Source organism: Homo sapiens, chromosome 4 (assembly GCF_000001405.40).
Source record: "Homo sapiens chromosome 4, GRCh38.p14 Primary Assembly".
NCBI lineage: Eukaryota > Metazoa > Chordata > Mammalia > Primates > Hominidae > Homo > Homo sapiens.
This window is the reverse complement of record NC_000004.12, coordinates 189,963,511-189,991,132: the sequence shown is the minus strand read 5'-3', so window position 1 is coordinate 189,991,132 and position 27,622 is coordinate 189,963,511. Positions and strand designations below refer to the sequence as shown.

General features: G+C 44.4%; 2 pseudogenes, besides 2 other annotated features; both read left to right on the top strand.

Annotated features, from left to right (window-relative positions):
* Positions 2,665 to 2,959: a silencer, noted in NCBI's record as "tiled region #15710; HepG2 Repressive non-DNase unmatched - State 25:Art". NCBI's record gives its function as "represses a minimal TATA promoter and a strong SV40 promoter by Sharpr-MPRA in HepG2 cells {active_cell/tissue: HepG2}" and the evidence as "EXISTENCE:reporter gene assay evidence [ECO:0000049][PMID:27701403]".
* On the top strand, positions 6,204 to 8,798 carry TUBB7P (tubulin beta 7 pseudogene; annotated as a pseudogene).
* Positions 15,737 to 15,907: a silencer, noted in NCBI's record as "fragment chr4:190896381-190896551 (GRCh37/hg19 assembly coordinates)". NCBI's record gives its function as "represses an EF-1alpha promoter that drives an FKBP-Casp9 reporter gene in an ReSE screen in phorbol 12-myristate 13-acetate-treated (for megakaryocytic differentiation) K562 erythroleukemia cells {active_cell/tissue: K562(+PMA)}" and the evidence as "EXISTENCE:reporter gene assay evidence [ECO:0000049][PMID:32094911]".
* MLLT10P2 (MLLT10 pseudogene 2) lies at positions 17,286 to 17,534 on the top strand (annotated as a pseudogene).

The window sequence follows — 27,622 nt, the reverse complement described above, 5'->3', positions numbered from 1 at the left end:
CTACAACTATCTGATCTTTGACAAACCTGACAAAAAACAAGAAATGGGGAAAAGATTCCCTATTTAATAAATGGTGCTGGGAAAACTGGCCAGACATATGTAGAAAGCTGAAACTGGATCCCTTCCCTACACCTTACACAAAAATTAATTCAAGATGGATTAAAGACTTAAATGTTAGACCTAAAACCATAAAAACCCTAGAAGAAAACCTAGGCAATACCATTCAGGACATAGGCATGGGCAAGGACTTCATGTCTAAAACACCAAAAGCAATGGCAAGCAAAGCCAAAATTGACAAATGGGATCTAATTAAACTAAAGAGCTTCTGCACAGCAAAAGAAACTACTGTCAGAGTGAACAGGCAACCTACAGTGTGGGAGAAAATTTTTGCAACCTACTCATCTGACAAAGGGCTAATATCCAGAATCTATAATGAACTCAAACAAATTTACCAGAAAACAACAAATAACCCCATCAAAAAGTGGGCAAAGGATATGAACAGACACTTCTCAAAAGAAGACATTTATGCAGCCAACAGACACATGAAAAAATGCTCACCATCACTGGCCATCAGAGAAATGCAAATCAAAACCACAATGAGATACCATCTTACACCAGTTAGAATGGCAATCATTAAAAAGTCAGGAAACAACAGGTGCTGGAGAGGATGTGGAGAAATAGGAACGCTTTTACACTGTTGGTGGGAGTGTAATTTAGTTCAACCATTGTGGAAGACAGTGTGGTGATTCCTCAGGGATCTAGAACTAGAAATACCATTTGACCCAGGCATCCTATTACTGGGTATATGCCCAAAGGATTATAAAACATGCTGCTATAAAGACACATGCACACGTATGTTTATTGTGGCACTATTCACAATAGCAAAGACTTCAAACCAACCCAAGTGTCCATCAATGATAGACTGGTTTAAGAAAATATGGTACATATATACCATGGAATACTATGCAGCCATAAAAAAGGATGAGTTGATGTTCTTTGTAGGGACATGGATGAAGCTGGAAACCATCATTCTCAGCAAACAATTACAAGGACAAAAAACCAAACACAGCATGTTCTCACTCATAGGTGGGAATTGAACAGTGAGAACACACGGACACAGGAAGGGGAACATCACACACCGGGGCCTGTTGTGGGGTGGGGGGAGGGGGGAGGGATAGCATTAGGAGATATACCTAATGTTAAATGACGAGTTAATGGGTGCAGCACACCAACATGGCACATGTATACATATGTAACTAACCTGCACGTGGTGCACATGTACCCTAAAACTTAAAGTATAATTAAAAAAAAAAGAAAAAAGAAAAGCAGTGTGTTATGGGAGTGGTAGAGCACATGCTAATAGGGTGGCAGCCTGCAACCAGGGACATGACACCTATCAAGTGGGAGGCACAGAAGTGCCTGATTAGGACTCAAAAGAGAACTAGAATCTAGAAAAGATGAATGAATTAGGAAGAAAGTGGGATATAGAGAGAAAAAATTATGATCATTTGACTCCTTGAAGGAATAAAAAAAATTGTGATAAAGCTTTTTAATTTTTATAAAGTCTGGAAAATTACTCGGAAAAGATGAAAACCTAGCCTTATTACAAGGGTGGATAATTTAGACCTTGAGAAAATACACTAACACTGACCCTTACTCCAAGAAGGGATAGGCATTGCTAGGAGTTTACTTTATAGCCCAGCCTGCTTCTGATATCTGCAGGAAGCCGCCAAAAGCAGCCTTAGGCTTCCAGACTCCCATGGATCAGATTTTAGATTTGGATTTTGCAGTTTTCCATCACAGGAATAGGGCAGAGAAAACATAAAATAAACCAAATGTCCCAAAAGGCCCAGCTTCTAGCTGCAGCCTTGTGCTCTCCACCACTTCAGAGGCAGCCCGTTAACCCTGGCCCTCACAGAGGAAGTGAGAAGGTGAAAGTCCCAGTCTGTGCCTCTGGGCCACTGTGTCGTGGATATAAATCAATGTGCCTTCTGTAAGAAGGTCAGCCACTGCTGAAGGAAATGCACTGTGCTTTCAAGGGAGCCAACCTCAGAGCCCAGCAGACTTGAAAGTGGGAGGGCCTGTTACTTCCTGCCTCCACTCCCATTGGACTATTAGGTATCCAGAGATGGAGAAGCCTCAGGTGACTCTTGTAGTGGCAGGTAGGAGTATTAACTTCTTATTAGGTGTGGGAGCAGATGACTCTGTCCTGATTCAATACAGTGGGCTCCTGTCTCTTCATGATGGACAAGCCCAAAATAACTGCTTTTTGTATCTTCTAAGTTGTCCTCCAGGGCCTCTGGGCTTCTCACCTACCTTTTTAGTACGGTCTGAATGCCTGATCTCTTACTGGGGAGAAGTTTATTGACTCAGGAGACCAAGTCATGGTCACCTTCACAGATCATAAATCATAGAAAGTGTTACTTTTGTTCCTGACCCCTCAGGGGAAAAAAAAGAAGTTAAGAATGAGCTGTCACATTTACCACCTGAGGTATTGTCTCAAGTAAATCTTGAAGTTTGGGCCACACAGGCTCTGGGAAATGCACTAAACACCTCCCCGATTCAAATCCAACTTCAGCCTAGTGCTCCTCGCCCTCAGAAGAGACAATACATTTTAAGGCAAGAAGCATGAGGGGAAATTCAACCCCTTATTGCCAAATTCTTGCCATATGAGTTATGAAGCCCATGAGAGTCTCCTTACAATACTCGCATGTTACCAGATAAAAAGCCTAATGGCAAGTACAGATTTGTCAGAACCCTTAGAGCGCTAAGAAATGCAGTTGTCTCCATACACCTCATTGTCCCCAATACTTACCAAGTCCCAGGGGATGCAAGCTGGTTTACATTCTTAAATCTGAAAGACGCATTTTTCTGCATCTCAATGCATCCAGATTCACAATATGTTTGCCTTTGAATGGACTAATCCAGATACACATTCAGCCTCAAAACTAACCTGGACAGTCGTCTCTGAAGGGTTCTGGGATAGCCCCCACTTATTTGAAAATGCTCTAGCTAAGGACTTAAGAAATCTACAACTGGAAAGGGACACAATTATTCAGTATGTAGGTGACTTGCTCATTGCTAGCCCAACTAAAGAAGACTCAAATAATAATACTGTTAAGTTGGTAAGTTTCCTGGGAAGTTGCAGATATACGGTATCCCCATACAGGGCTCAGATTTTGACTCAAAGACTTAAATATTTGGAATCTGTCTTAACCACTGGAACTGATCAACAACCCTAGAAGATAAAAAAGTTATTTTAGTCACCGAAGGGTCCCAGTCCAACAAATGACTGTGGGCTCTTTTAGGAGATGGCTGGGTACTGCTGCTTATGGTTGCCCAGATTTGGACATGTAGCCAAGCCTTTATATGATACACTAAAGGGAAAGATTTAGAGCTCCTAGAACGTAATGAGAACTGCAAGCAAACCTTCAATACTCTCAAGGAGAAATTGAGCTCTGCTGCAGCCATGGGAGTCCCCAAGTTGGATGAACCATTTTTTCTTTATGTGACCAAAAAGCAAGGCATAGGCCTTGGGTAATCTTGTCTCAAAACTGGGGGACATTCCAAGGCCAGTAGCCTAATTTTCTAAGCAGATAGACCAGGCGGCCTCAGGGTGGCCTTGATGTCTTAGAGCTATTGCTGCTACCACTTTTCTAGCAGGCAAAGCTAATAAACTAACATTAGAACAGCACCTACAGGTTTTTGACCCCACACCAAGGGAAGGTGGTCCTGGAAGCTAAAGGGCAGCAGTGGATAATAGGAGAACATTTATGAAAGTGTCAGGCCTTATTGCTAGACCCTCCAGACACAACCCTTAAAGCCTGCCAAACCACAAACCCAGCTACTTAGCTGTCAGAGTCCACAGGTGCTCCCAGCCTTTCTGGCATACAGGCTGTATTAGTCTGTTCTCACGCTGCTAATAAAGACATATCTGAGGCTGGGAAATTTATAAAGAAAAGAGGTTTAATTGACTCACAGTTCCACATGGTCGGAGAGGCCTCACACTCATGGCAGAAGGCAGGTGAGGAACAAAGTCACATCTCTTACGTGGCAGCAGGCAAAAGAGCTTGTGTAGGGAAACTCCCCTTTATAAAACCATCAGCTGTAATCCAGCACTTTGGGAGGCCAAGGCAGTGGATGACCTGAGGTGAGGAGATGGAGGCCAGCCTGGCCAACATGGTGAAACCCTGTCTATACTAAAAGTGCAAAAATTAAACAGGCATGGTTGTGGGCACCTGTAATCCCAGCTACTCGGGAAGCTGAGACAGGAGAATCGCTTGAACCCAGGAGTCAGAGTTTGCAGTGAGCCAAGATCACGATAATGCACTCCAGCCTGAGCAACAGAGCAAGACTATGTATCAAAAATAAATAAATAAATAAACTATCAGATCTCATGAGGCTTATTCACTGTCACGAGAACAGCATGGGAAAGACCCATCCCCTGATTCAATTACCTCCCACTGGGTCCCTCCCACGATATATGGGAATTATGGGAGCTACAATTCAAGATAAGACTTGACTGGGGGCACAGCCAAAGCATGTCACAGGTTATGAAACAAATTGATCTAGCAGGCCAGACGTAGGAGAGATGAGCTCCTTGACCATCCCAAGGCAGAGTGGTTAACAGATGCAAGTTGTTTTATGCATCAGGAAAACAGGAGGTCTAGATATGCTATTAGTAGTCAGCACAAGAGAATCAAGGCACAAGCCTTGCTGGCCTCGACCTCAGCTCAAAAAGCTGAGTTAATTGAACTTACTAGGCCCCTGCAGTTGGAAAGGATTTAAAAGTTAACATTTACACTGATTCCAAGTATGATTTTTTAGTGCTTCATGCTTATGCTGCAATTTGGAATGGGTGGGGACTCCTGACCCCAAGGGCTTTTCCATACAACATCATTCAGATTTTGAGCTTGTTAGAATACTGCTTTGCTGCCAGAAAGTGACTATAATTAATTGCAGAGGACATCAAAAGAGAGACTGACCATGTAAAAGGAAATGACCTTGTAGCTGCAGCCAAGGCCCCTGCACTGAAAGGGCCAATGAAGCTTATGGGCGTGCTGGTCAGCATACATAGAACTGGGCCGGAACACTCTGAAGAAGAACAGAAATGGGCCAGGGATTGCATTTCAGTCCAGGGCCCCTCGGGCTGGCTGAATGATGGTAATAAATTACTAATGCCAAGTACCAATCACAAGAGTATAACTCAGCACTTTCATGATTCTTTTCACCCTAGAAGGGATTCTTTGTTTCTGTTAATGTCTCACTTGTTTATAGGGGTAAATCTTTTCAAGACACTAAAACAGGTGACTCAGCACTGTGAGCTCTGTGCCTGACATGACCCAAACGGCCAGCAATTTTCTCCTCCAGTTAAACCTGTCCAAAATTAAGGAACCTATCCAGGTGAGAACTGGCAACTCTAATGTACCCCAATGACTTTCTGCAAGAGATTCAAATATTTGCTAATGCTTACTGATACCTTCACTGGTTAGATCGAGGCATTCCCCACCCCATCTGAAAAATGTTTACCAGAAGAAATAACTCCTCAGTTTGGGTAATCTAAAAGCCTGCAAAGTGACAATGGCCCATCTTTCACAGCAGGCGTAACCCAACACCTATCCTCAGCTTTAAGAATCCAATATTACCTTCACTCTGTGTGGAGACCGCAGTCCTCTGGAAAGGTGAAAGGGCTAATCCTAAAGAAGACTCTAGCTAAATCAGAGGCCTGACTATCTCTAACACCCATAGCTTACTGCAGATTTGAACTGCTCCAAAGTAAAACGTATAATTAAGTCCTGTTAACATGTGGAAGGCCTTTCCTAACGACAGATCTCCTAATAGATGAAAAGATTCATCAATTACAAAAATATGTCATCAATCTAGGACAGGTGCAAAGGCACTCCGTGCATATGGAAACAAGCGTCTTCCCCTCCCACATGGGAGGAAAATTCAGTTTCAGCTCAGCTAGGGATTTAGTCTTACTAAAGACGTGGGAGGAAGTTCTCCAGCTGAGCAGCTTTCCCCAACGTGGAAGGGACCACGCAAGGACACCTGAGTTCTCCAACAGACGTTCAACGCCAGGGGAGTCACAGGTGGGTGCACCTGTGTGGAAGTAAAGCTGTTGCTTATTCTGGGAGCCCAATCCTAGGCTGAGGGAGGTGGGCGCGGGGCTGTTTAAGCGTTGGCGGAGGCCGGGCTGGGTCGCTGTGCGTCTGCTCCTCCTTCTCGCGCTTCTCCTGCCGCCCTAATCCTGCCTTGGCCACGAGGGAGCTTGTGCTCACGCAGACCGGGCAGTGCGGGAACCAGATCGGCGCCAAGGTTGGCAGCCGGGGCTCTGAGGGCCCAGCCCGGGCCTGCCGGGTGGCCGGGGAAGATGTTGGCAGCGGCGGGGGCGGTGCCCCTGCATTGCGGCCCCTGGGCTCCCTGCCGGGGACGGTGGAACCGGGTGGCTGGCGAGGCGGCGGGGGTGGACCCCAGGGACAGGGCGGCCTGGGGATGGGGGTGCGGATGGGGGTGGGAGAGCGGCTGGGGCGCCTCCGTGACTCAGCCCCGGCCTGTCTGGCCCCTCCCGTCTCCGCAGTTCTGGGAGGTGATCTCTGATGAACATGCCATCGACTCCGCTGGCACCTACCACGGGGACAGCCACCTGCAGCTGGAGCGCATCAACGTGCACCACCACGAGGCCAGCGGTGCGACCCCCGTCCTTCCCCCACCGCCCTCCTGGGAACGCGGCCCTCCCCTCGCTCATGCCCTCCCGCCCCACGCAGGTGGCAGGTACGTGTCCCGCGCTGTGCTCGTGGATCTGGAGCCGGGCACCATGGACTCTGTGCGCTCGGGGCCCTTCGGGCAGGTCTTCAGGCCAGACAACTTCATTTCCCGTGAGCTGCGGGCGAGGACTGGGGTGCGGCTCCTTAGCCAGGGCAGCTCGAAATCCAGGAACGCTCCAAGGTCATCCTGTGGGAACTGTGGCGCCAGGGCCCCTGAACACCCTCCTGTCCTCCGAGTCGAGTCGCTCCATCTGCCTCCTAAACGGGCTTCGGGAGGAAGGCCCGCGTGTCTCCTCAAGGTGAGGAGCTACTGATGTAAACTCCCTGCAAGGACCTGAGCTGGGGCCGTGGCTACTGCCTTCCCTGAGAATGGGCCACCTGCAGCGAGGTCTGTGAACCCGTCTCAGGTTCGACTCCTGACTTAATTCCTAACAGGGGAAGCTGCTGTCCTGTAACTCCTGGGGAGGGGGTTTCATTTGTTCCACCTGCAGCGAGTTCTGTGAGCCCGTCTCAGGTTTGACTCCTGTCTTAATTCCTAACGGGGGAAGCTGCTGTCCTGTAACTCCGGGGGAGGGGTTTTCATTTGTTCCACCTGCAGTGAGGTTAGCCCCTCTCAGGTTTGACTCCTGACTTAATTCCTAAGAGAGGGGAAGCTGCTGTCCTGTAACTCCGGGGGAGGGGGTTTCATCTGCTCCACCTGCAGGGCGAATGGTGCTCTCACCTCACACGTGACACTTGGCCCTTTCTGCATTATGGTGGTGACCACTGATGACCGTATACCTGGCCGTCGAGTGACCGGCTGTGCTGTCTTACAGGTCAGTGTGGGGCCGGAAACAACTGGGCCAAGGGACGCTACACCGAAGGCGCGGAGCTGACGGAGTCAGTGATGGACGTTGTCAGAAAGGAGGCTGAGAGCTGTGACTGCCTGCAGGGTTTCCAGCTGACCCACTCCCTGGGTGGGGGGACTGGGTCTGGGATGGGTACCCTTCTCATTAGTAAGATCTGGGAGGAGTACCCAGACAGGATTATAAACACATTGAGCATCCTGCTCTTGCCCAAGGTGTCAGACACCGTGGTGGAGCCCTACAACGCCACCCTCTCAGTCCACCAGCTCATAGAAAACGCAGATGAGACCTTCTGCATAGATAACGAAGCGCTATATGACATATGTTCCAGGACCCTAAAACTGCCCACACCCACCTATGGTGACCTGAACCACCTGGTGTCTGCTACCATGAGTGGGGTCACCACGTGCCTGTGCTTCCCCGACCAGCTGAATGCTGACCTGCGGAAGCTGGCCATGAACATGGTCCCGTTTCCCCGGCTGCATTTCTTCATGCCCGGCTTTGCCCCACTGACCAGCCGGGGCAGCCAGCAGTACCGGGCCTTGACTGTGGCTGAGCTCACCCAGCAGATGTTTGATGCTAAGAACATGATGGCTGCCCGTGACCCCCGTCACGGCCGCTACCTAACGGCGGCTGCCATTTTCCAGGGTCGCATGCCCATGAGGGAGGTGGATGAACAGATGTTCAACATTCAAGATAAGAACAGCAGCTACTTTGCTGACTGGTTCCCCAACAACGTAAAAACAGCCGTCTGTGACATCCCACCCTGGGGGCTAAAAATGTCAGTCACCTTCACTGGGAACAACACAGCCGTCCAGGAACTCAAGCGGGTCTCAGAGCAGTTTACAGCAACGTTCAGGCGCAAGGCCTTCCTCCACTGGTACACGGGCGAGGGCATGGATGAGATGGAATTCACTGAGGCCGAGAGCAACATGAACGACTTGGTGTCTGAATATCAGCAATATCAGGATGCCACGGCCGAGGGAGGAGGAGTATGAGGAGGAGGAGGTGGCCTAGAACTCTCCTTTTCTAGGTAAAGGGGGGAAGCAGTGTGGATCCTTCACTGTGTTCTGACAGCCATGTGTCACTATGCGCTCGTTCATTTGTGTCTTCACATCTCCTGCTGCATTTTAAAGCATTTTTATAGTATGCGGTTTTGCCTAATAAAGTATTCTCACAGCATCTGGTTTCACCTCCAACTTCTATGGGCCCTCTGGCTACTGCTGCCAGATGTGCACAGTTGTCCTGCAAGGCGGAAGCTGTCTGGGTTCATCACATGCCCAGGAACAAGCATTCCAGTGGCTCTAGGAGGGCTCGGCATGGGCTGTGGACATGGCAGGCAGGCGCCACATGAACTTGGGGATGCCCTGGGCCTTGGGCAGCGACGTGGTGGAAAGCCTGTTCCTGAAGAAAAGCCTTGGCTTATCCCATGTACCAAACTTTTAGGGGACCAGTTGGCCATGTGTCTGGAACTTTAAAAGGGCTCAGCGACCCTGGTGGACAATGTCCCCAAAGTCCCATCTCGGGGTAGGAATGTGGTCAGACAGCTGGCTCTGAACCAGCAATGAAGGGTGGGCAAGTGGGACCCCAGGCACTCCATCACCAAGACGGTCTGGGTGTGTTTGTGTGGCCTCATTCTCTTCACGAGGTGGGCATGGGGTATCTGGCAGGGACTAGGCAGGAATCGAGCCCAGTGTCTGCTAACATGCACTGAACCCTATGTAGAGGGGGATTAGGTCCTGGGGGTCGTATATGGTGGTTGCTGGGCCTGTGTGCTCAGGGCAGTCTCTCCAAAGGCACAGATGGGGTTTCTGAACAGGACCTGGGAAGACAGGCAGGTGCTCACAAATGCTGCTTCCCCCAACTGGCAACCAGTGAGAAAAACGCCCAAGTGGAGGTCTGACCTGCCCCAGTCTGGAGGGCTGATGCTCTCTGGAAAGATGGGTGATGTGCAGTGTCTGCTGTCTCCCTGTCCCCCACTCCAAAACCTCAGAGCAAAGATAATCCAAGATTGCCAGGATGAGCCTGGTGAGGGTGGCACCTTTTTAGGGATAGGCCCTTCAGACTGGCAGAGTCTCCTCCCCAAGCTTCTCGGGGAGCCTGGACTGCAAAGCCCGCTTTGGGGAAGCTGTCAAATAAGAGGTGTGTGTGTGAGCTGGGTGCTGGGCAGCAAGCACGGACAGGGCTCTTCTCCCTGGCTCTTGTAGAACTTGTCCATGGTCTGTGTGATGACCCCTTGGTAATTCCCACCGCCACCATCACACAGATAAGATGAAGCCAGCACAGCCTGGGGGTGGGCAGATGAACAGGTTCTACCCCAGGTCCCCTGGGAATGTCCATCTGCCTCCGACGTGTCAGGGAAAACAGGTGAGGCCCCTTCTTGTTCTCTGAATGTTGTCAATGGTCTATTGCAGCCAAATGGGAACAGACAGGCAGCAGAGTGTCTCATCTCGAAAGAAGTGGCTCCTGGAAGCAGCTGGGAGGTGGGAGAGGTTCCCCACACTCCCCCAACCTCCCCCACACTCCCCCAACCTCCCCCACACTTCCCCAACCTCCCCCAACCTCCCCCAACCTCCCCCACACTCCCCCACACTCCCCCACACTCCCCCACACTCCCCCACACTCCTCCCCCACACTTCCCCACACTCCCCCACACTCCCCCACACTCCCCCAACCTCCCCCACACTCCCCCACACTTCCCCAACCTCCCCCAACCTCCCCCAACCTCCCCCACACTCCCCCACACTTCCCCAACCTCCCCCAACCTCCCCCACACTCCCCCACACTCCCCCACACTCCCCCACACTCCCCCAGCCTGTTCTAGGAGCAGGAAAAGGGGACTCTGTGACAGCCCCCCTCAGTGGCCCTCACTCTCTGAGGGGTGTCCTTGCCCAATCCAGGTGCACACCCATCTGAGATGGTCTTGCATGGACCTGCTTGGGAAGGTTCAGCTGCAGCAATCACTGGAACCTGCCCACACCTGGTGTCTCCACTCACGTGTGGACCTGGATGTTCCTCCCTCTCATAGTGGTACAGCCAGAGGCAGAGGGGGCAAGTCACTGCTGCAGTTCCCACCTGGGTCTGAGGAGGGCGTCAGGCTTGGTGCCCATGTATTTCCCAATTACCTGGTTCCATGTGGGGGCTTCATGGACAGGAGTGGTGCTTTTCCAGGCCTCTTTTCCACATGCCAGCTACAGGCCCAGGTTTCCCAAGTTTCTGGAGCCCCTCTTCCAGCCTGGCAAGCATGGCGTGTTGTAGGGGAAGGACATGAAGCCTACAGGCAGCAGAACCTGTCTGGGTATGTTCTCCACCCCTGGAGGTCCCTGGTTGTTTACCTCTTTGGGTGAGAGTCGGCTTACGATCTCAGCATTCTTGTAGGACTCCAGAACTGTACAGACAGGGGCCCAGGAGGCAGCAGGGGCTCGGACTGGCAGCTAACCAGTGTAGTGGGGGTTGTAGGGCTTGGTTTAGTCTTGCAGGGAATTCAGGGAAGCTTGGATTTGCTGAAGCTCTAGACGAGCTTGGGCTGGGATATGGAAACAGCATGGAGCCGGGGCCTTTCTGCACGCTGGAGTCTGAGTAGTTGCACCCTGGTGCAGCCATAGGTGTTCCCCACCTGGAGCACAGCTGTGGATAGAAGCTGGGAGAGCTGTGGAGGGAAGAGGAGGAGGAGGAGGGAGTCTCAGGGCAGTCCCAGCAGCCAGGCAGGGCCTCTGCAAGTGAGATGCAGATCCAGCCTGTTGGCCACTTAGCAGCTGCTTGGCTGGCTGCAGATCACCTGACCTCTGCTCACCAGTAAATGGGGGTTGCAGTTAGCACTTACCTTCTGGGGTTTCTGCAGCTTGAAGGGGCAGCACACACCATGTGCTGAGAAAGCGCCGAACTCAGGCAAGCTTTTCCAAGAGCACCACATCAGATTAACATCCAACCTGTACAGAATACCATCAAATCTCCCCACCCCTCATTCCAATGGAAGAAAAGGGAATCTCTGTCCTAGGGGGAGCAAGCACAGGCCTATCTATGCAGTCGGCACATGGCACAGGTGGGGAAAAGGCCCTTGGATACGTGCTGGTTTCACCAACCATCTGTAGGTTGGGTTTGGCCTGGACCCCTGCACCCCAGGAGGCCGGCAGCCCCCCTGCACCCCAGGAGGCCGGCAGCCCCCCTGCACGGTACAGGACTGGGAGGTGGGTGGGAGGGCTGAGCTTTGAGGGAAGCCATTATTTGGCCTCATGGGAAGTGGTGCAGGTGGTTGTTGGTGGCTCAGTTTTGCAGGACCTGGGTGATCACCCAAGGAGTGAAAATTGTCTTTTTATGAGAAATTGCCAAAATTGATGCAAGCTCATCAGTTGAAAAGGTGAGTAATGCTGACAGTTGGCTTCACGTGCCCCTTCCCCACAAGTAACTGGTGTTCAGAGGTGGATTTGGTTCCTTCCCAGCCTTTCCCGTTTGCATGTAGCTGTGTGCATGTACTTTGTGTACACACAAACATGTTCCCTGGAGGGGTTACTTTTATTTTTTTATTTGGGGGGATAACTAGTGAGGCAGCCTGACACTTGCTTATCTTGTCTTTTAAGTGTGGAGTCCTCTATGGAGTGGGCATCAGGTACTTACTAGCTGGCCTCTGCCAGCTGTTTGGCTGCCCCCGTTTCTGCCCTTCACAGACATGCTGGCCACCTGGTGTGACATGCAGTGGCCTTGTTTGCAGCTAGTGTGATGAGACAAGTGGATCAGGTACATTGTAAACTGAAAAAGCACACAACATGCAGAGGGAAAGGATAAATGACCATGAGGGTACTGCTCTGCTGAAGTCCACATCACATGACTGAGATGACATTTTTTCACCTAACATTTGGGCCCTGAGAAAAGGCATTTGTTTTACTTTTTATTTATAACAGAATTAGAAGAAATACTACCAGGCTTTCTTTTCCATTATCCTCAACTCCCACTTAAACCCCTCAAGTTTACCTACCTCAGAGAGAAAGTGGAGCTCGCCTGATTGAGAGCCTGAAATTATTTGAGCCAGGTCACTGTGTAAAGGTCAGACTGCTTCCATCTCCTTGTGCATCACTTGCGCAGCTCAGATATTTCATGGCTCCCTGTATACAGGTAGCTGTGTTACCCTCCTAGCCGCTTTCTTGGTTTGATACATGCCTGGGAGCATGTGGGAGCAGTTAAGGTCTGGGCTCATGGGAGGACAGTTCTGCCCACCCCAGCTCATCTCTCCAGCTCAGCCTGCATACCTGCCTTCCTCCATCTGATTCCAGAGTAGGGGATGGGAGGTCTCACACTGACCTCAAGTTTATGTGACTTTTTCCATCTCTGCTTTCCCAGACAGCCCTTGCTGTGGGACTTGTAAGGAGATTTGTGAAGTCAGTATCTACTTTTCTTGTGTGGGTGTTTATAAATTATTCCCCTGGAGGGGAATAAATGTTAGAGGTACTCCAAACCCCTAACATGTAAACATCTAAGCCTGGCCCTTTTTTGGTGGTAAAATATACACAACATAAAACTTACCATTTTAACCATGTTTAAATGTACAGTTCTGTGGCATCCAGTATATTCAGTGTTGTCCAACCATCTAGTTTATCTAATTTATCCATATCTACAACTTCTTTATCATCCTAAAATCAAACACCATTCCCATGAAGAAGTCACTGAATAGAAGACTGATGTATTTGACTCCATAAAAATTGAAACTTTGTGTGAGAGAAAAATGCCTCTAAGTCAAAAGTCAACAGACTGGGGAAATAGATCTGCCACATACATGACAGACAAAAAGCTAATTTGGGATATATACATACATATGGGTATATGTAAATATCCATTTTAAACACCATTCAAAAAATACCATCGTTTCCCATTGAATAGTGTTGACTCCTGTGTTAAAAATCATGACCATATTTTTTGGTTCTTTATTTCTATCGCATTGGTCTTTGTCTCTGTCTCTATGCTGGTACAAGTTTTGGGTACTGAAGCATTGCAGTAAGTTTGAAACCAGGAGGTGTTAGTCCTCTAACTTTGTTAGTTTTTAAGATTGATTTGGCTACTTGGGATTTTTTGAGATTTCATCTGAATTTTAGAATAGGTTTTTCTATTTTTGCAAATATTGGAATTTTTATAGTGATTTTATTGAATCTGTAGATGACTATAGATAACAATGGCATCTTGACAAGGTTTTGTCTTCCAGTCCATAAACACATGATGTCTTTTCATTTATTTGTCATCTTTAATACGTTCATGCCATGTTTATAGTTTTTGCTGTACAGGTTTTTCATTTTCTTGGTTAAGTGGGTTTCTAAGTATTTTATTCTTTTGATGCTATCATACATGATACTGTTGTCTTGATTTCTTCTTCAGATAGTTTATTGTTATTGTAGAAATACAACTGATTTTTGTGTATTGATTTTGTATCCTGCAGCTTTGCTGAATTTTGTTTATTGTATCTGACAGTTTATTTCACAGAAACCAAAAGATTTTTAATATATAAGGTTATGTCATCTGCAAACAGATAATTTTACTTTTAAAAAAATTGGAATATCTTTTATTCTTTTACTCATGTTTTAACTAACTAGAATCCTCAGTACTATATTAAACAGAAGTAGTAAAAGCAGGCATCCTTGTTTTTGCTCTTAGGGTAAAAGCTTTCAGTCTTTCACCACATTAGCTGTGTTTTTGTTTTTTGTATGACATTATGTTAAAGTGTTTTCTTTCTTTTTATAGTTTATTAAGTACATTTTATCATGAATGTGGGTTAAATTTTGACAAATGCTTTTTCTTCTTTGATTAAAATGTGATCACATGAGGCTTTTTTCCTTCTTTATGTTAATGTGATATTACGCTGATTTTCATGTGTTGGAATATACTTTTATTTCAGGAGTCAATTATACTCATTCATAGTGTATAATCCTTTTAGTGTACTGCTAAGTTTGAGTTGCTGGTATTTTGTTGAGGATTTTTGCATCAGCATTTGTAAGGGATGTTTGTTTGTAGTTTTCTTATGGTGCCTTTGTCTGGCTTGGTGTCAAGGTAATACTGGCCTCATAGAATAAGTTAGAAAACATTACCTCCTCTTCAACGTTTTGAAAAAGTTTGAGAAAAACTGGTGTTAATTCTGCTTTAAACGTTGGGTAGAATTCAACAGTGAAGCCATCTGGTCCAGGCTTTTCTTTGTTGCTGGGTTTTTGATTACTTATGCCATCTTCCTGCTGAATCTCCTTGCTGAATAGGTTTATTCAACTTTTCTGATTCAGTCTTAGTAGGTTTTTTGTTTCTAGGAATTTGTTCATTTTATTTAGGTTATTCAATTTTTTAGTGTATAGTTCCTTATGGTACTCTCCTACATCCTTTTTTTACTCCAAAAATTTGTTAGTAATGTACCCATTTTTCTTCTGAGTTTCGTAATTTGAGTATTCCCTTTTTTTCTTAGTCAATCTAGATAAAATTTTTGTCAGTTTTGATCTTTTCCAGAGAATAAACTTGGTTTTGTTGATTTTTGATATTGCTTTTCTGTTCTCTATTTCACTTATTTCCACTGCTATCTTTATCATTTTTAAAATTTTGCTAGCTTTTAGTTGTCCCTCTTTTTCCCTCTGTTTTTAGTTCCTTAGGAGTAAAGTTGTTGATTCAGTATCTTATGTTTTATAATCATTTATAGCTATAAATTTTTCCCTCATGGTACTGTTTTTGATGTATCTCTTAACTTCTGGTATTTCATCCAGTTTTCTCTCCATCCTTTATTTGATACATGAACAAATTACATGAGTGAAGAACACCACTGTGTCTTCTTAAATAACTTTTCAACTTCAGTAAGTCATGCAAGGATCAAATGTGAGAGAAATAGAGAACCTCAGGATCAACTCAAGTATTTGGAAAAAAGTACTGAAAAATGAGGTGGGGTGGTTTCCAAACTGACCTGCTCAGCATCGAAGGGATTCTTGTTTCTTAAGGAAGCCATGCAGTTTTATCAGCTTAAAAGTGAGTGGTTGGTAAAAATTTTTTTCTTTTAAACTTACTTTTTGAAACTTCTTATTTGTGGACTGTGGTTTGTTAGAATAGTGATTATTTTGTTTTTATGAGATGTTTATTGTATTTTTATCTTTTTTTTTTAAGGCAGAGTCTTGCTCTGTCACCCAGGCTGGAGTACAGTGGCTCGATCTCAGTTCACTGCAACCTCCACCTCCCAGGTTCAAGCGATTCTCCTGCCTCAGCCTCCCGAGTAGCTGGGATTACAGGCGCCCACCACCACACCCAGCTAATTTTTGTATTTTCAGTAGAGATGAGGTTTCACCCTGTCGGCCAGGCTGGTCTCAAACTCCTGACCTCAAGTGATCCACCCGCCTCAGTCTCCCAAAGTGCTGGGATTACAGGTGTGAGCCACTGTGCCCAGCGTGTTTCTTGTGTTTGATGATGAAAATCTGTTATTGACAGTAAGAGGATGGGGGCTCAGGTTAGCAACAGGGTGTTAGAAAAGCAGCAGTAAAATTTTGGTTCTCAAAACATTTGATGTCTTATTCCTTTTTTTGAACATGGGTTTTGCTAAAAAAAAAAAAGGCCAGCCATTTTGAAACTTGATTTTATTGTCACGTTCTCATTTTGAAATTCATCTTATGGTTTGTATGAATTGGCAGCCGTCTGTGGGAAATTTCAGTTTTGCATATTTTCAGATTATTTTCATTTTTACATCAGATTTTGAACAGATGCTATACAAAAGTATTCATTTATTTATTCAACAAAATTTAGTGCTGGTTATGTTGCAAGCACTTAGTGAACTTCATGCTGTACGTGCCTCACATACTTTTGCGAATGTAATGGCAACATCAAAACCTTTGCCCTTATGCACCTTATAAACCTTTAATTTCAAGGCATATTGATGAGCGGGCATCTGCTATAACGTGCTTTCATGGTCATTTAATTCACCATTATTTGGGTATACCTTATATTGAAGCTGATTACTGAAAATTGGAAACTATTTAAACATATCTGTGTCTTGCCTTTTTCCTTAACATATGTAGATCAAGGAGTCACTGAGGATCAATTTTAGGGATAGTTATAAAAATCTTAACTTTGCGACTATAACTTTGTCCTCAATGTAATAACTGCAAAAAATAATTTACATTTCAAAGGCTTTAATCTTTGTGCTTTTTTGAAAAGGAGCCTTCACCGAGATTCTTTAAAAATTCTTGCTCTTACAGTAGAGCATTTTAAGCTCATGGATATGGTCCTCTAATGGATCTGTACCCCCTCAGTTCTCTGGTTGTCGCCCTCCTGTGGTGAAAATTAAAGCTTATTTTCATTTCACGTCTAGGATGCAGTACGTTCTTATTGGGGAAAAAATGATGTTGCTGAGAAACAAGTGCCTTCAGTATCACTGTGTGTCACTTAATAAATATGACTAATATCTACTTTTACCAATGGCTGCAATTTGATGCTTAAACAGCCATCTTTAAATTATACTTTTTCTTTGGTTAAAGAAAAATAATTATAATAGATATTAATTATTTTTACCTAATTTTCTTATGTGGACTGCCATTCTTAGAACTAAAACTTTCAGATGTTTATATTACAAGTACAATTATTATTTATTTTTATTATTAGTGTCATCTTTTTTTTTCTGTAGCCAAATGTAATCAACTCCCTTCCTTTCACTTCCTTTTTTGAATCAGAATATTACACTTATACAAGCAAGAGCAACAGCTCTATATCCAGATCACTGCAGTGCTTAGAAGATACAACAGCACAATTTACAGATCCAAATTTCCAGGAAGTCTCTGCACACACCTCTAGTACAAAAGATGCTTCAGAGACTAGAGGGTCAGAGGGCAAAGAGAGGAAATATTCAACTCCCAGCTCAGGTCAAAAGGGAAGAAAGCCTGGTGTTAAAAGAAATCCAAGAAGGACTGTGTCTGCAACTCGCCCCTTTCTGTAAAGTATTCATGGTGTTTTAGTTAAAATGTTTGTTCTTATGATGGTCAAATAATATTAATAGTTATGCTTTGTAAAAGAATTTATTCTTATAATTAATGGATCGTTCTAAATTATTATACGTTTAGTTGCTATAGTAAGATGATGTCAAAGATTTGTTGCCTGTTAAATGTTTCTGGGATCTTTGCTTTATTTTCATATTATGATCTGTGCTTCCAAAGTTGAGTGGTAATTTTATTGTTTATACAAATGTAAAATAAAGCTTAAGTTTGGGGAGAAAAATAAAAGCTAGAGTTTTCCTTTCAGCTCTATAGAACAGTCATTCATTTCTATAAATGTTCTTTATATAGATTTCCTAGTTCCACATTTAAAAATAAATATGGGGATCTACACAGGTCTCAGTAAATAATAGTTGTTGATTAATAATGCATTTATTATAAAGCTTGAAGTTTAAAGTAGAATTTTGCTCAGCCTACATATCTTTTATGGTCAGGCTGCTATAATTATGTAATACCCAGTTAAATTTCAATTTCAGATAAACAAAGAATAAGTTTTAGTATAAGCATATCCCAAATATTGCATGGGGTATACTTACACTGAAAAAAGTATTTGTTTATCTGAAATTTAAAATTAACTGGGCATGCTATATTTTCTGTGGCAACCCTGTTTTATAGAGAGCAGAGTAAGTCAGCTAAATTTTAGAATACTTTAACCTGGTGTTCTAGGTCTTTCCTTTTTGTAATTATTATTATTATCTGGAGTCAGGGTCATGCTCCATCACTTAGGCTGGAGTGCAGTGGCACAATCACAGTGCCCTGCAGCCTTGAGCTTCTGGGCTCAAGTGATTCTGGCACCTCTGCCTTTGCCTCCCAAGTAGCTAGTACCACAGGTACGTGGGCCCAGCTAATTTTTTTTTTTTTTTTTTTTTTTCCCCGTAGAGACAGGGTCTCAGGGTGGTCTGGAACTCCTGGGCTCAAGCAATCCTCCCACCTCTGCCTTCACTTCCCAAATAGCTGAGACCACCGGCACATACCACCACCATACCCAGCTTATTTTTTATCAGGTTGGTGCAAGAGGAATTGTGGGTTTTGCCATTGAAAGTAATGGCAAAACCTGCAATTACTTTTTGTATCACCCTAATAATTTTTTGTGGAGACAAGGTCTTGTCCTGTTGTCTAGGCTGGTTTCCAAGTCCTGGACTCGAGTGACCCTCCTGCCTTGGCCTCTCAAAGTGCTGGGATTACAGATGGGAGCCACTGTACCAAGCTACTTTGTATAATTTTTAACATAAATGTAAATGTTTTGAGAACTAGAAATGTTAAAACCCTTGGAGGAAAATGTAAAGTATACAATAGAAAAAAAAATACAAAAAATTATCAATTTTCAGAGGAACAAAAAATATCCAGTTTTTACAATCTTCAGGATTCAATCCCATTATATCAAACATACCAAGAAACATATTCAAAGAAAAAGGCAATCAATCGAGACTGACCTCGAGACGACCGAGATGTTGGAATTAGTATGGATTTTTTAAAGTAGTTATTATAATTCTTACTAAAATCAAAACCCCAAAAACTCTTATAATAAATGGATAGAAAATCACAGCAGAGAAGAAGAAACTACAGTAATAACAAAGCCTCAAGTGGAAATTCTAGAAGTGAAAAATTTTTCAAAATTAAAAAATAATAGTTGTGTTCAGGAGCAGCTTGGAGGTGGTAAAGAGTCAACCTTAAAATACAATTGAAATTATTCAATCTGAAAAATGTGAGCAGTCACGGGTTGAGGTGAGGGAGTTTTCCTTTGGTTAGTGCTTTTAGGTAATCTTGGTTTTTTTTTTTTTTTTATTGATCATTCTTGGGTGTTTCTCGCAGAGGGGGATTTGGCCGGGTCACAGGACAATAGTGGAGGGAAGGTCAGCAGATAAACAAGTGAACAAAGGTCTCTGGTTTTCCTAGGCAGAGGACCCTGCGGCCTTCCGCAGTGTTTGCGTCCCTGGGTACTTGAGAGTAGGGAGTGGTGATGACTCTTAACGAGCATGCTGCCTTCAAGCATCTGTTTAACAAAGCACATCTTGCACCGCCCTTAATCCATTCAACCCTGAGTGGACACAGCACATGTTTCAGAGAGCAAGGGGTTGGGGGTAAGGTCACAGATCAACAGGATCCCAAGGCAGAAGAATTTTTCTTAGTGCAGAACAAAATGAAAAGTCTCCCATGTCTACTTCTTTCTACCCAGACACAGCAACCATCCGATTTCTCAATCTTTTTGATAAGATTACTAGATTGATCTGTCAGGGGCATGCTAAGCCAGAATTTATCTTGGTTTCAGTAGTGCTTTAAACAAAACTCATGATACCCTTGTGTTCAAGACAGAAGAAGAGTGGGCCAAATTAAATATTTAGATGCAGTCATTCTTAACCTCTGTTGCTCTCCCAGTGGTCTAGCTGGGGTTTGTATAAAGTGGAATGGGAGGAACAGGGAAGGAGCCCCCACCTACCCTCTCCCCTTGTCCACTTGTCCTCCTTGACTAGTGGATAAAGTCCACGGGAACAGGCAAGTTATTTTCAATCTGTATCTTCTGTTAAGATCTGTAATCAGTTCTGCTTGCTGGACTGGGGACAGGAACCGAGGGAACATGAGGGTGAACGAGGTGACATGGAGTCCAGGAGCACACTGTGCCTACATGCAGAATGTTTGTGCCAGGAAAGCCAGCAGCAGGCAGATGGTCTCAGATAGCAAGCTAGTGTTGGGAAGCAAGATTCAGTCTCTTGAAGGCGTGTTCCTCAGTGTGTGGTTTGTATCACTTGCTTCAGAATGACCTGGAGTACTTGTTAAAATGCAAATTTTCAGCCCAATCCTAGACCTCCTAAGCCTGCATCTCTACGGATGGGTCTCAGTAGTCGATATTGGAAACGGGCAGGTCCCTAGGAGATGCTTATGCATATAAATTTGAAATGTGTTTAAGGTTTAGGGAGCTGGCAAAAGCAAGGAATAGACCAAGCCCTTGGGTGGGAAGCCTCCACAACGTTGGCACTATTAGCATTCGGGGCGGAAGAGGATTCTGCCACATGCTTCGCAGCATCCCTAGCCTCTACCCTCTAACACCGTATCCCAGTTGTGAAAACCAAAAATGTCCCCTGGGAGGCAAAATAGTCACTAGTTGGGAACCGAAACCACTGCTTTGTATCAGAGTAGTTACTTTGTTCCTAATCCAAGGATCAGAACACACGATGAGAGAAAGTCTAGCTATGGGAACTGGAGTGCCAAGTTGGAGCTAGACCTACAACAAAAGCACCAAAAGCTCCTTTATAGGGCTGATTCCGTGCCTCAGCTACCTAGCTTGTACAAATGCCATGTAACTCTAGATTTGATGACAGAAGGCATTTAAAGGCTAGAACTAGTTAGGGTCTTTCAGATTAGGCCAGCACACAACGTGGACTTTTGACAACATCCAGATGCTTGAACCAAACTCAGTCCTGAGGCAGAATTTCCCGTGGCATCTGATACACAGCCTGGATTTGGAGCACTCACTAGGATTAGATGCCATGGGAATATTGTGTTTAGGAACTCTGAAAGAGACAGGCTTCAACAAAGCAGACCTAAGCAACACGTAGCGTCTTAACTTTTTTTTTTTTTTAACAGAAATGTTCAGAGCACCTTTATTTGTAATAGCCTAGAACTAGAAACAACCCAGATATCCTCCAATGACTGAATGGTTAAACAAACTGTTCTATATCGCCACTATGGAATTTTTTTTTTCTTTATTGTACTTTAAGTTTTAGGGTACATGTGCACAACGGGCAGGTTTGTTACATACGTATACATGTGCCATGTTGGTGTGCTGCACACATTAACTCTTCATTTAACATTAGTTATATCTCATATCGCTATCTCTCCCCCCTCCCCTGACCCCACAGCAGGCCCTGGTGTGTGATGTTCCCCTTCCTGTGTCCAAGTGTTCTCATTGTTCAATTCCCACCAATGAGTGAGAACATGCTGTGTTTGGTTTTTTGTCCTTGCAATAGTTGGCTGAGAATGATGGTTTCCAGCTTCATCCATGTCCCTACAAAGGACATGAACTCATCATTTTTCGTGGCTGCATAGTATTCCATGGTGTATATGTGCCACATTTTCTCAATCCAGTCAATCATTGTTAGACATTTGGGTTGGTTCCAAGTCTTTGCTATTGTGAATAGTGCCACAATAAACATATGTGTGCATGTGTCTTTATAGCAGCATGTTTTATAATCCTTTGGGTATATACCCAGTAATGGGATGGCTGGGTCAAATGGTATTTCTAGTTCTAGATCCCTGAGGAACCACCACACGGACTTCCACAATGGTTGAACTAGTTTACAGTCCCACCAACAGTGTAAAAGTGTTCCTATTTCTCCACATCCTCTCCAGCACCTGTTGTTTCCTGACTTTTTAATGATCACCATTCTAACTGGTGTGAGATGGTATCTCATTGTGGTTTTGATTTGCATTTCTCTGATGGCCAGTGATGATGAGCATTTTTTCATGTGTCTGTTGGCTGCATAAATGTCTTCTTTTGAGAAGTGTCTGTTCATATCCTTTGCCCACTTTTTGATGGGATTGTTTGTTTTTTTTCTTGTAAATTTGAGTTCATTGTAGATTCGGGATATTAGCCCTTTGTCAGATGAGTAGATTGCAAAAATTTTCTCCCATTCTGTAGGTTGCCTGTTCACTCTGATGGTAGTTTCTTTTGCTGTGCAGAAGCTCTTTAGTTTAATTAGATCCCATTTGTCAATCTTGGCTTTTGTTGCCATTGCTTTTGGTGTTTTAGACATGAAGTCCTTGCCTATGCCTATGTCCTGAATGGTATTGCCTAGGTTTTCTTCTAGGGTTTTTATGGTTTTAGGTCTAACATTTAAGTCTTTAATCCATCTTGAATTAATTTTTGTATAAGGTGTAAGGAAGGGATCCAGTTTCAGCTTTCTACATATGTCTGGCCAGTTTTCCCAGCACCATTTGTTAAATAAGGAATCCTTTCCCCATTGCTTGTTTTTGTCAGGTTTGTCAAAGATCAGATGGTTGTAGACATGTGGCATTATTTCTGAGGGCTCTATTCTGTTCCATTGTTCTATATCTCTGTTTTGGTACCAGTACCATGCTGTTTTGGTTACTGTAGCCTTGTAGTATAGTTCGAAGTCAGGTAGCATGATGCCTCCAGCTTTGTTCTTTTGGCTTAGGATTGACTTGGCAATGCAGGCTCTTTTTTGATTCCATATGAACTTTAAAGTATTTTTTTCTATTTCTGTGCAGAAAGTCATTGGTAGCTTGATGGGGATGGCATTGAATCTATAAATTACCTTGGGCAGTATGGCCATTTTCACGGTATTGATTCTTCCTACCAATGAGCATGGAATGTTCTTCCATTTGTTTGTATCCTCTTTTATTTCATTGAGCAGTGGTTTGTATTTCTCCTTAAAGAGGTCCTTCATGTCCCTTGTAAGTTGGAGTCCTAGGTATTTTATTCTCTTTGAAGCAGTTGTGAATGGGAGTTCACTCATGATTTGGCTCTCTGTTAGTCTATTATTGGTGTATAAGAATGCTTGTGATTTTTGCACATTGATTTTGTATCCTGAGACTTTGCTGAAGTTGCTTATCAGCTTAAGCAGATTTTGGGCTGAGATGATGGGGTTTTCTAGATACACAATCATGTCATCTGCAAACAGGGACAATTTGACTTCCTCTTTTCATAATTGAATACCCTTTATTTCCTTCTCCTGCCTGATTGCCCTGGCCAGAACTTCCAACACTATGTTGAATAGGAGTGGTGAGAGAGGGCATCCCTGTCTTGTGCTGGTTTTCAAAGGGAATGCTTCCAGTTTTTGCCCATTCAGTATGCTATTGGCTGTGGGTTTGTCATAGATAGCTCTTACTATTTTGAGATATGTCCCATCAATACCTAATTTTTTGAGAGTTTTTAGCATGAAGGTTTGTTGAATTTTGTCAAAGGCCTTTTCTGCATCTATTGAGATAATCATGTGGTTTTTGTCATTGGTTCTGTTTATATGCTGGATTACATTTATTGATTTGCATATGTTGAGCCAGCCTTGCATCCCAGGGATGAAGCCCACTTGATCATGGTGGATAAGCTTTTTGATGTGCTGCTGGATTCGGTTTGCCAGTATTTTATTGAGGATTTTTGCATCGATGTTTATCAGGGATATTGGTCTAAAATTCTCTTTTTTTGTTGTGTCTCTGCCAGGCTTTGGTATCAGGATGATGCTGGCCTCATAAAATGAGTTAGGGAGGATTCCCTCTTTTTCTATTGATTGGAATAGTTTCAGAAGGAATGGTATGAGCTCCTCCTTGTACCTCTGGTAGAATTAGGCTGTGAATCCATCTGGTCCTGGCCTTTCTTCGGTTGGTAAGCTGTTAATTATTGCCTCAATTACAGAGCCTGTTATTGGTCTATTCAGAGATTCAAGTTCTTCCTGGTTTAGTCTTGGGAGGGTGTATGTGTCCAGGAATTTATCCATTTCTTCTAGATTGTCTAGTTGATTTGCGTAGAGGTGTTTATAGTATTCTCTGATGGTAGTTTGTATTTCTGTGGGATCAGTGGTGATATCCCCTTTATCATTTTTTATTGCACCTATTTGATTCTTCTCTCTTTTCTTCATTAGTCTTGCTAGCAGTCTATCAATTTTGTTGATCTTTTCAAAAAACCAGCTCCTGGATTCATTGAGTTTTTGAAGGGTTTTTTGTGTCTATTTCCTTCAGTTCTGCTCTGATCTTAGTTATTTCTTGCCTTCTGCTAGCTTTTGTATGTGTTTGCTCTTCTCTAGTTCTTTTAATTGTGATGTTAGGGTGTCAATTTTAGATCTTTCCTGCTTTCTCTTGTGGGCATTTAGTGCTATAAATTTCCCTCTACACACTGCTTTGAATGTGTCTCAGAGATTCTGGTATGTTGTGTCTTTGTTCTCGTTGGTTTCAAAGAACATCTTTATTTCTGCCTTCATTTCGTTATGTACCCAGTAGTCATTCAGGAGCAGGTTGTTCAGTTTCCATGTAGTTGAGCAGTTTTGAGTGAGTTTCTTAATCCTGAGTTCTAGTTTGATTGTACTGTGGTCTGAGAGACAGTTTGTTATAATTTCCGTTCTTTTACATTTGCTAAGGAGTGCTTTACTTCCAACTATGTGGTCAATTTTGGAAGAGGTGTGGTGTGGTGCTGAAAAGAATGTATATTCTGTTGATTTGGGGTGGAGAGATCTGTAGATGTCTACTAGATCTGCTTGGTGCAGAGCTGGGTTCAATTCCTGGATATCCTTGTGAACTTTCTGTCTTGTTGATCTGTCTAATGTTGACAGTGGGGTGTTAAAGTCTCCCATTATTATTGTGTGGGAGTCTAAGTCTCTTTGTAGGTCTCTAAGGACTTGCTTTATGAATCTGGGTGCTCCTGTATTGGGTGCATATATATTTAGGATAGTTAGTTCTTCTTGTTGAATTGATCCCTTTACCATTATGTAATGGCCTTGTCTCTTTTGATCTTTGTTGGTTTAAAGTCTGTTTTATCAGATACTAGGATTGCAACCCCTGCCTTTTTTTTTCCATTTGCTTGGTAGATCTTCCTCCATCCCTTTATTTTGAGCCTATGTGTGTCTCTGCATGTGAGATGGGTTTCCTGAGTACAGCACACTGATGGGTCTTGACTCTATCCAATTTGCCAGTCTCTCTCTTTTAATTGGAGCATTTAGCCCATTTACATTTAAGGTTAATATTGTTATGTGTGAATTTGATCCTGTCATTATGATATTAGCTGGTTATTTTGCTCATTAGTTGATGCAGTTTCTTCCTAGCCTCGATGTTCTTTACAATTTGGCATGTTTTTGCAGTGGCTTGTACAGGTTGTTCCTTTCCATGTTTAGTGCTTCCTTCAGGAGCTCTGTTAGGGCAGGCCTGCTGGTGACAAAATCTCTCAGCATTTGCTTGTCTGTAGATTTTATTTCTCTTTCACTTATGAAGCTTAGTTTGGCTAGATATGAAATTCTGGGTTGAAAATTCTTTTAAGAATGTTGAATATTGGCCCCCACTCTCTTCTGGCTTGTAGAGTTTCTGCGGAGAGATCAGCTGTTCGTCTGATGGGCTTCCCTTTGTGGGTAACCCAACCTTTCTCTCTGGCTGCCCTTAACATTTTTTCCTTCAACTTTGGTGAATCTGATAATTATGTGTCTTGGAGTTGCTCTTCTCAAGGAGTATCTTTGTGGCATTCTCTGTATTTCCTGAATTTAAATATTGGCCTGCCTTGCTAGATTGGGGAAGTTCTCCTGGATAATATCCTGCAGAGTGTTTTCCAACTTGGTTTCATTCTCCCCATCACTTTAAGGTACACCAATCAGACATAGATTTGGTCTTTTCACATAGTCCCGTATTTCTTGGAGGCTTTGTTCGTTTCTTTTTATTCTTTTTTCTCTAAACTTCTCGCTTCATTTCATTCATTTGATCTTCCATCACTGATACCCTTTCTTCCAGTTGATCAAATCGGCTACTGAGGCTTGTGCATTCATCACGTAGTTCTCATGCCGTGGTTTTCAGCTCCATCAGGTCCTTTAAGGACTTCTCTGCATTGGTTATTCTAGTTATCCATTTGTCTAATTTTTTTTCAAAGCTTTTAACTTCTTTGCCATTGGTTTGAATTTCCTCCTGTAGCTCGGAGTAGTTTGTCTGAAGCTGCCTTCTCTCAACTCGTCAATGATTCTCCGTCCAGCTTTGTTCCGTTGCTGGTGAGGAGCTGTGTTCCTTTGGAGGAGGAGAGGTGCTCTGATTTTTAGTTTCCAGTTTTTCTGCTCTGTTTTTTCCCCATCTTTGTGGTTTTATCTACCTTTGGTCTTTGATGATGGTGATGTACAGATGGAGTTTTGGTGTGAATGTCCTTTCTGTTAGTTTTCCTTCTAACAGTCAGGACCCTCAGCTGCAGGTCTGTTGGAGTTTACTGGAGGTCCACTCCAGACCGTTTGCCCAGGTATCAGCAGTGGAGGCTGCAGAACAACAGATATTGGTGAACAGCAAATGTTGCTGCCTGATTGTTCCTCTGAAAGTTTTGTCTCAGAGGAGTACCCGGCCATGTGAGGTGTCAGTCTTCCCCTACTGGGGGATGCCTCCCAGTTAGGCTACTCGGGGGTCAGGGACCCACTTGAGGAGGCAGTCTGTCTGTTCTCAGATCTCCAGCTGCTTGCTGGGAGAACCACTACTCTATTCAAAGCTGTCAGACAGGGACATTTAAGTCTGCAGAGTTTTCTGCTGCCTTTTGTTTGGCTATGCCCTGCCCCTAGAGGTGGAGTCTACAGAGGCAGGCAGGCCTCCTTGCGCTGCAGTGGGCTCCACCCAGTTTGAGCTTCCCAGCCACTTTACCTACTCAAGCCTCGGCAATGGCAGGTGCCCCTCTCCCAGCCTCGCTGCCGCCTTGCAGTTTGATCTCAGACTGCTGTGCTAGCAATGAGCGAGGCTCCTTGGGCGCAGGACCCTCCAAGCCGGGCGCAGGATATAATCTCCTGGTGTGCCGTTTGCTAAGAGTGTTGGAAAAGCGCAGTATTAGGGTGGGAGTGGCCCAATTTTCCAGGTGCCGTCTGTCACCCCTTTCTTTGACTAGGAAAGGGAATTCCCTGACCCCTTGTTCTTCCTGGGTAAGGTGATGCCTCGCCCTGCTTTGGCTCATGCTCGGTGCACTGTACCCACTGTCCTGCACCCACTGCCTGACACTCCCCAGTGAGATGAACCTGGTACCTCAGTTGGAAATGAAGAAATCACACGTCTTCTGCATCGCTCACGCTGGGAGCTGTAGACTGGAGCTGTTCCTATTCCCTTACCAGCTTCCATTCCAGCCCACAAGGACAAAGGCATCACATACATATCCACTGTGGCTAACCTGTCCTCAGCAGGGAGTTTCCCCAGTACTACTCTCCCCTCTGTTCTGAGCCTACTTGCTCCTTTGTAATGTTTCTGCTTTCTGTCCCACTCCCTAATAGATGATTTGTCCTCTCTGCCCAGCCCCCTAGTTCTGATATTTGGATTGTCTGTGATCTGGGTAGTACTTAGAAGGTAGAACCAAAGCCTTGTTGAT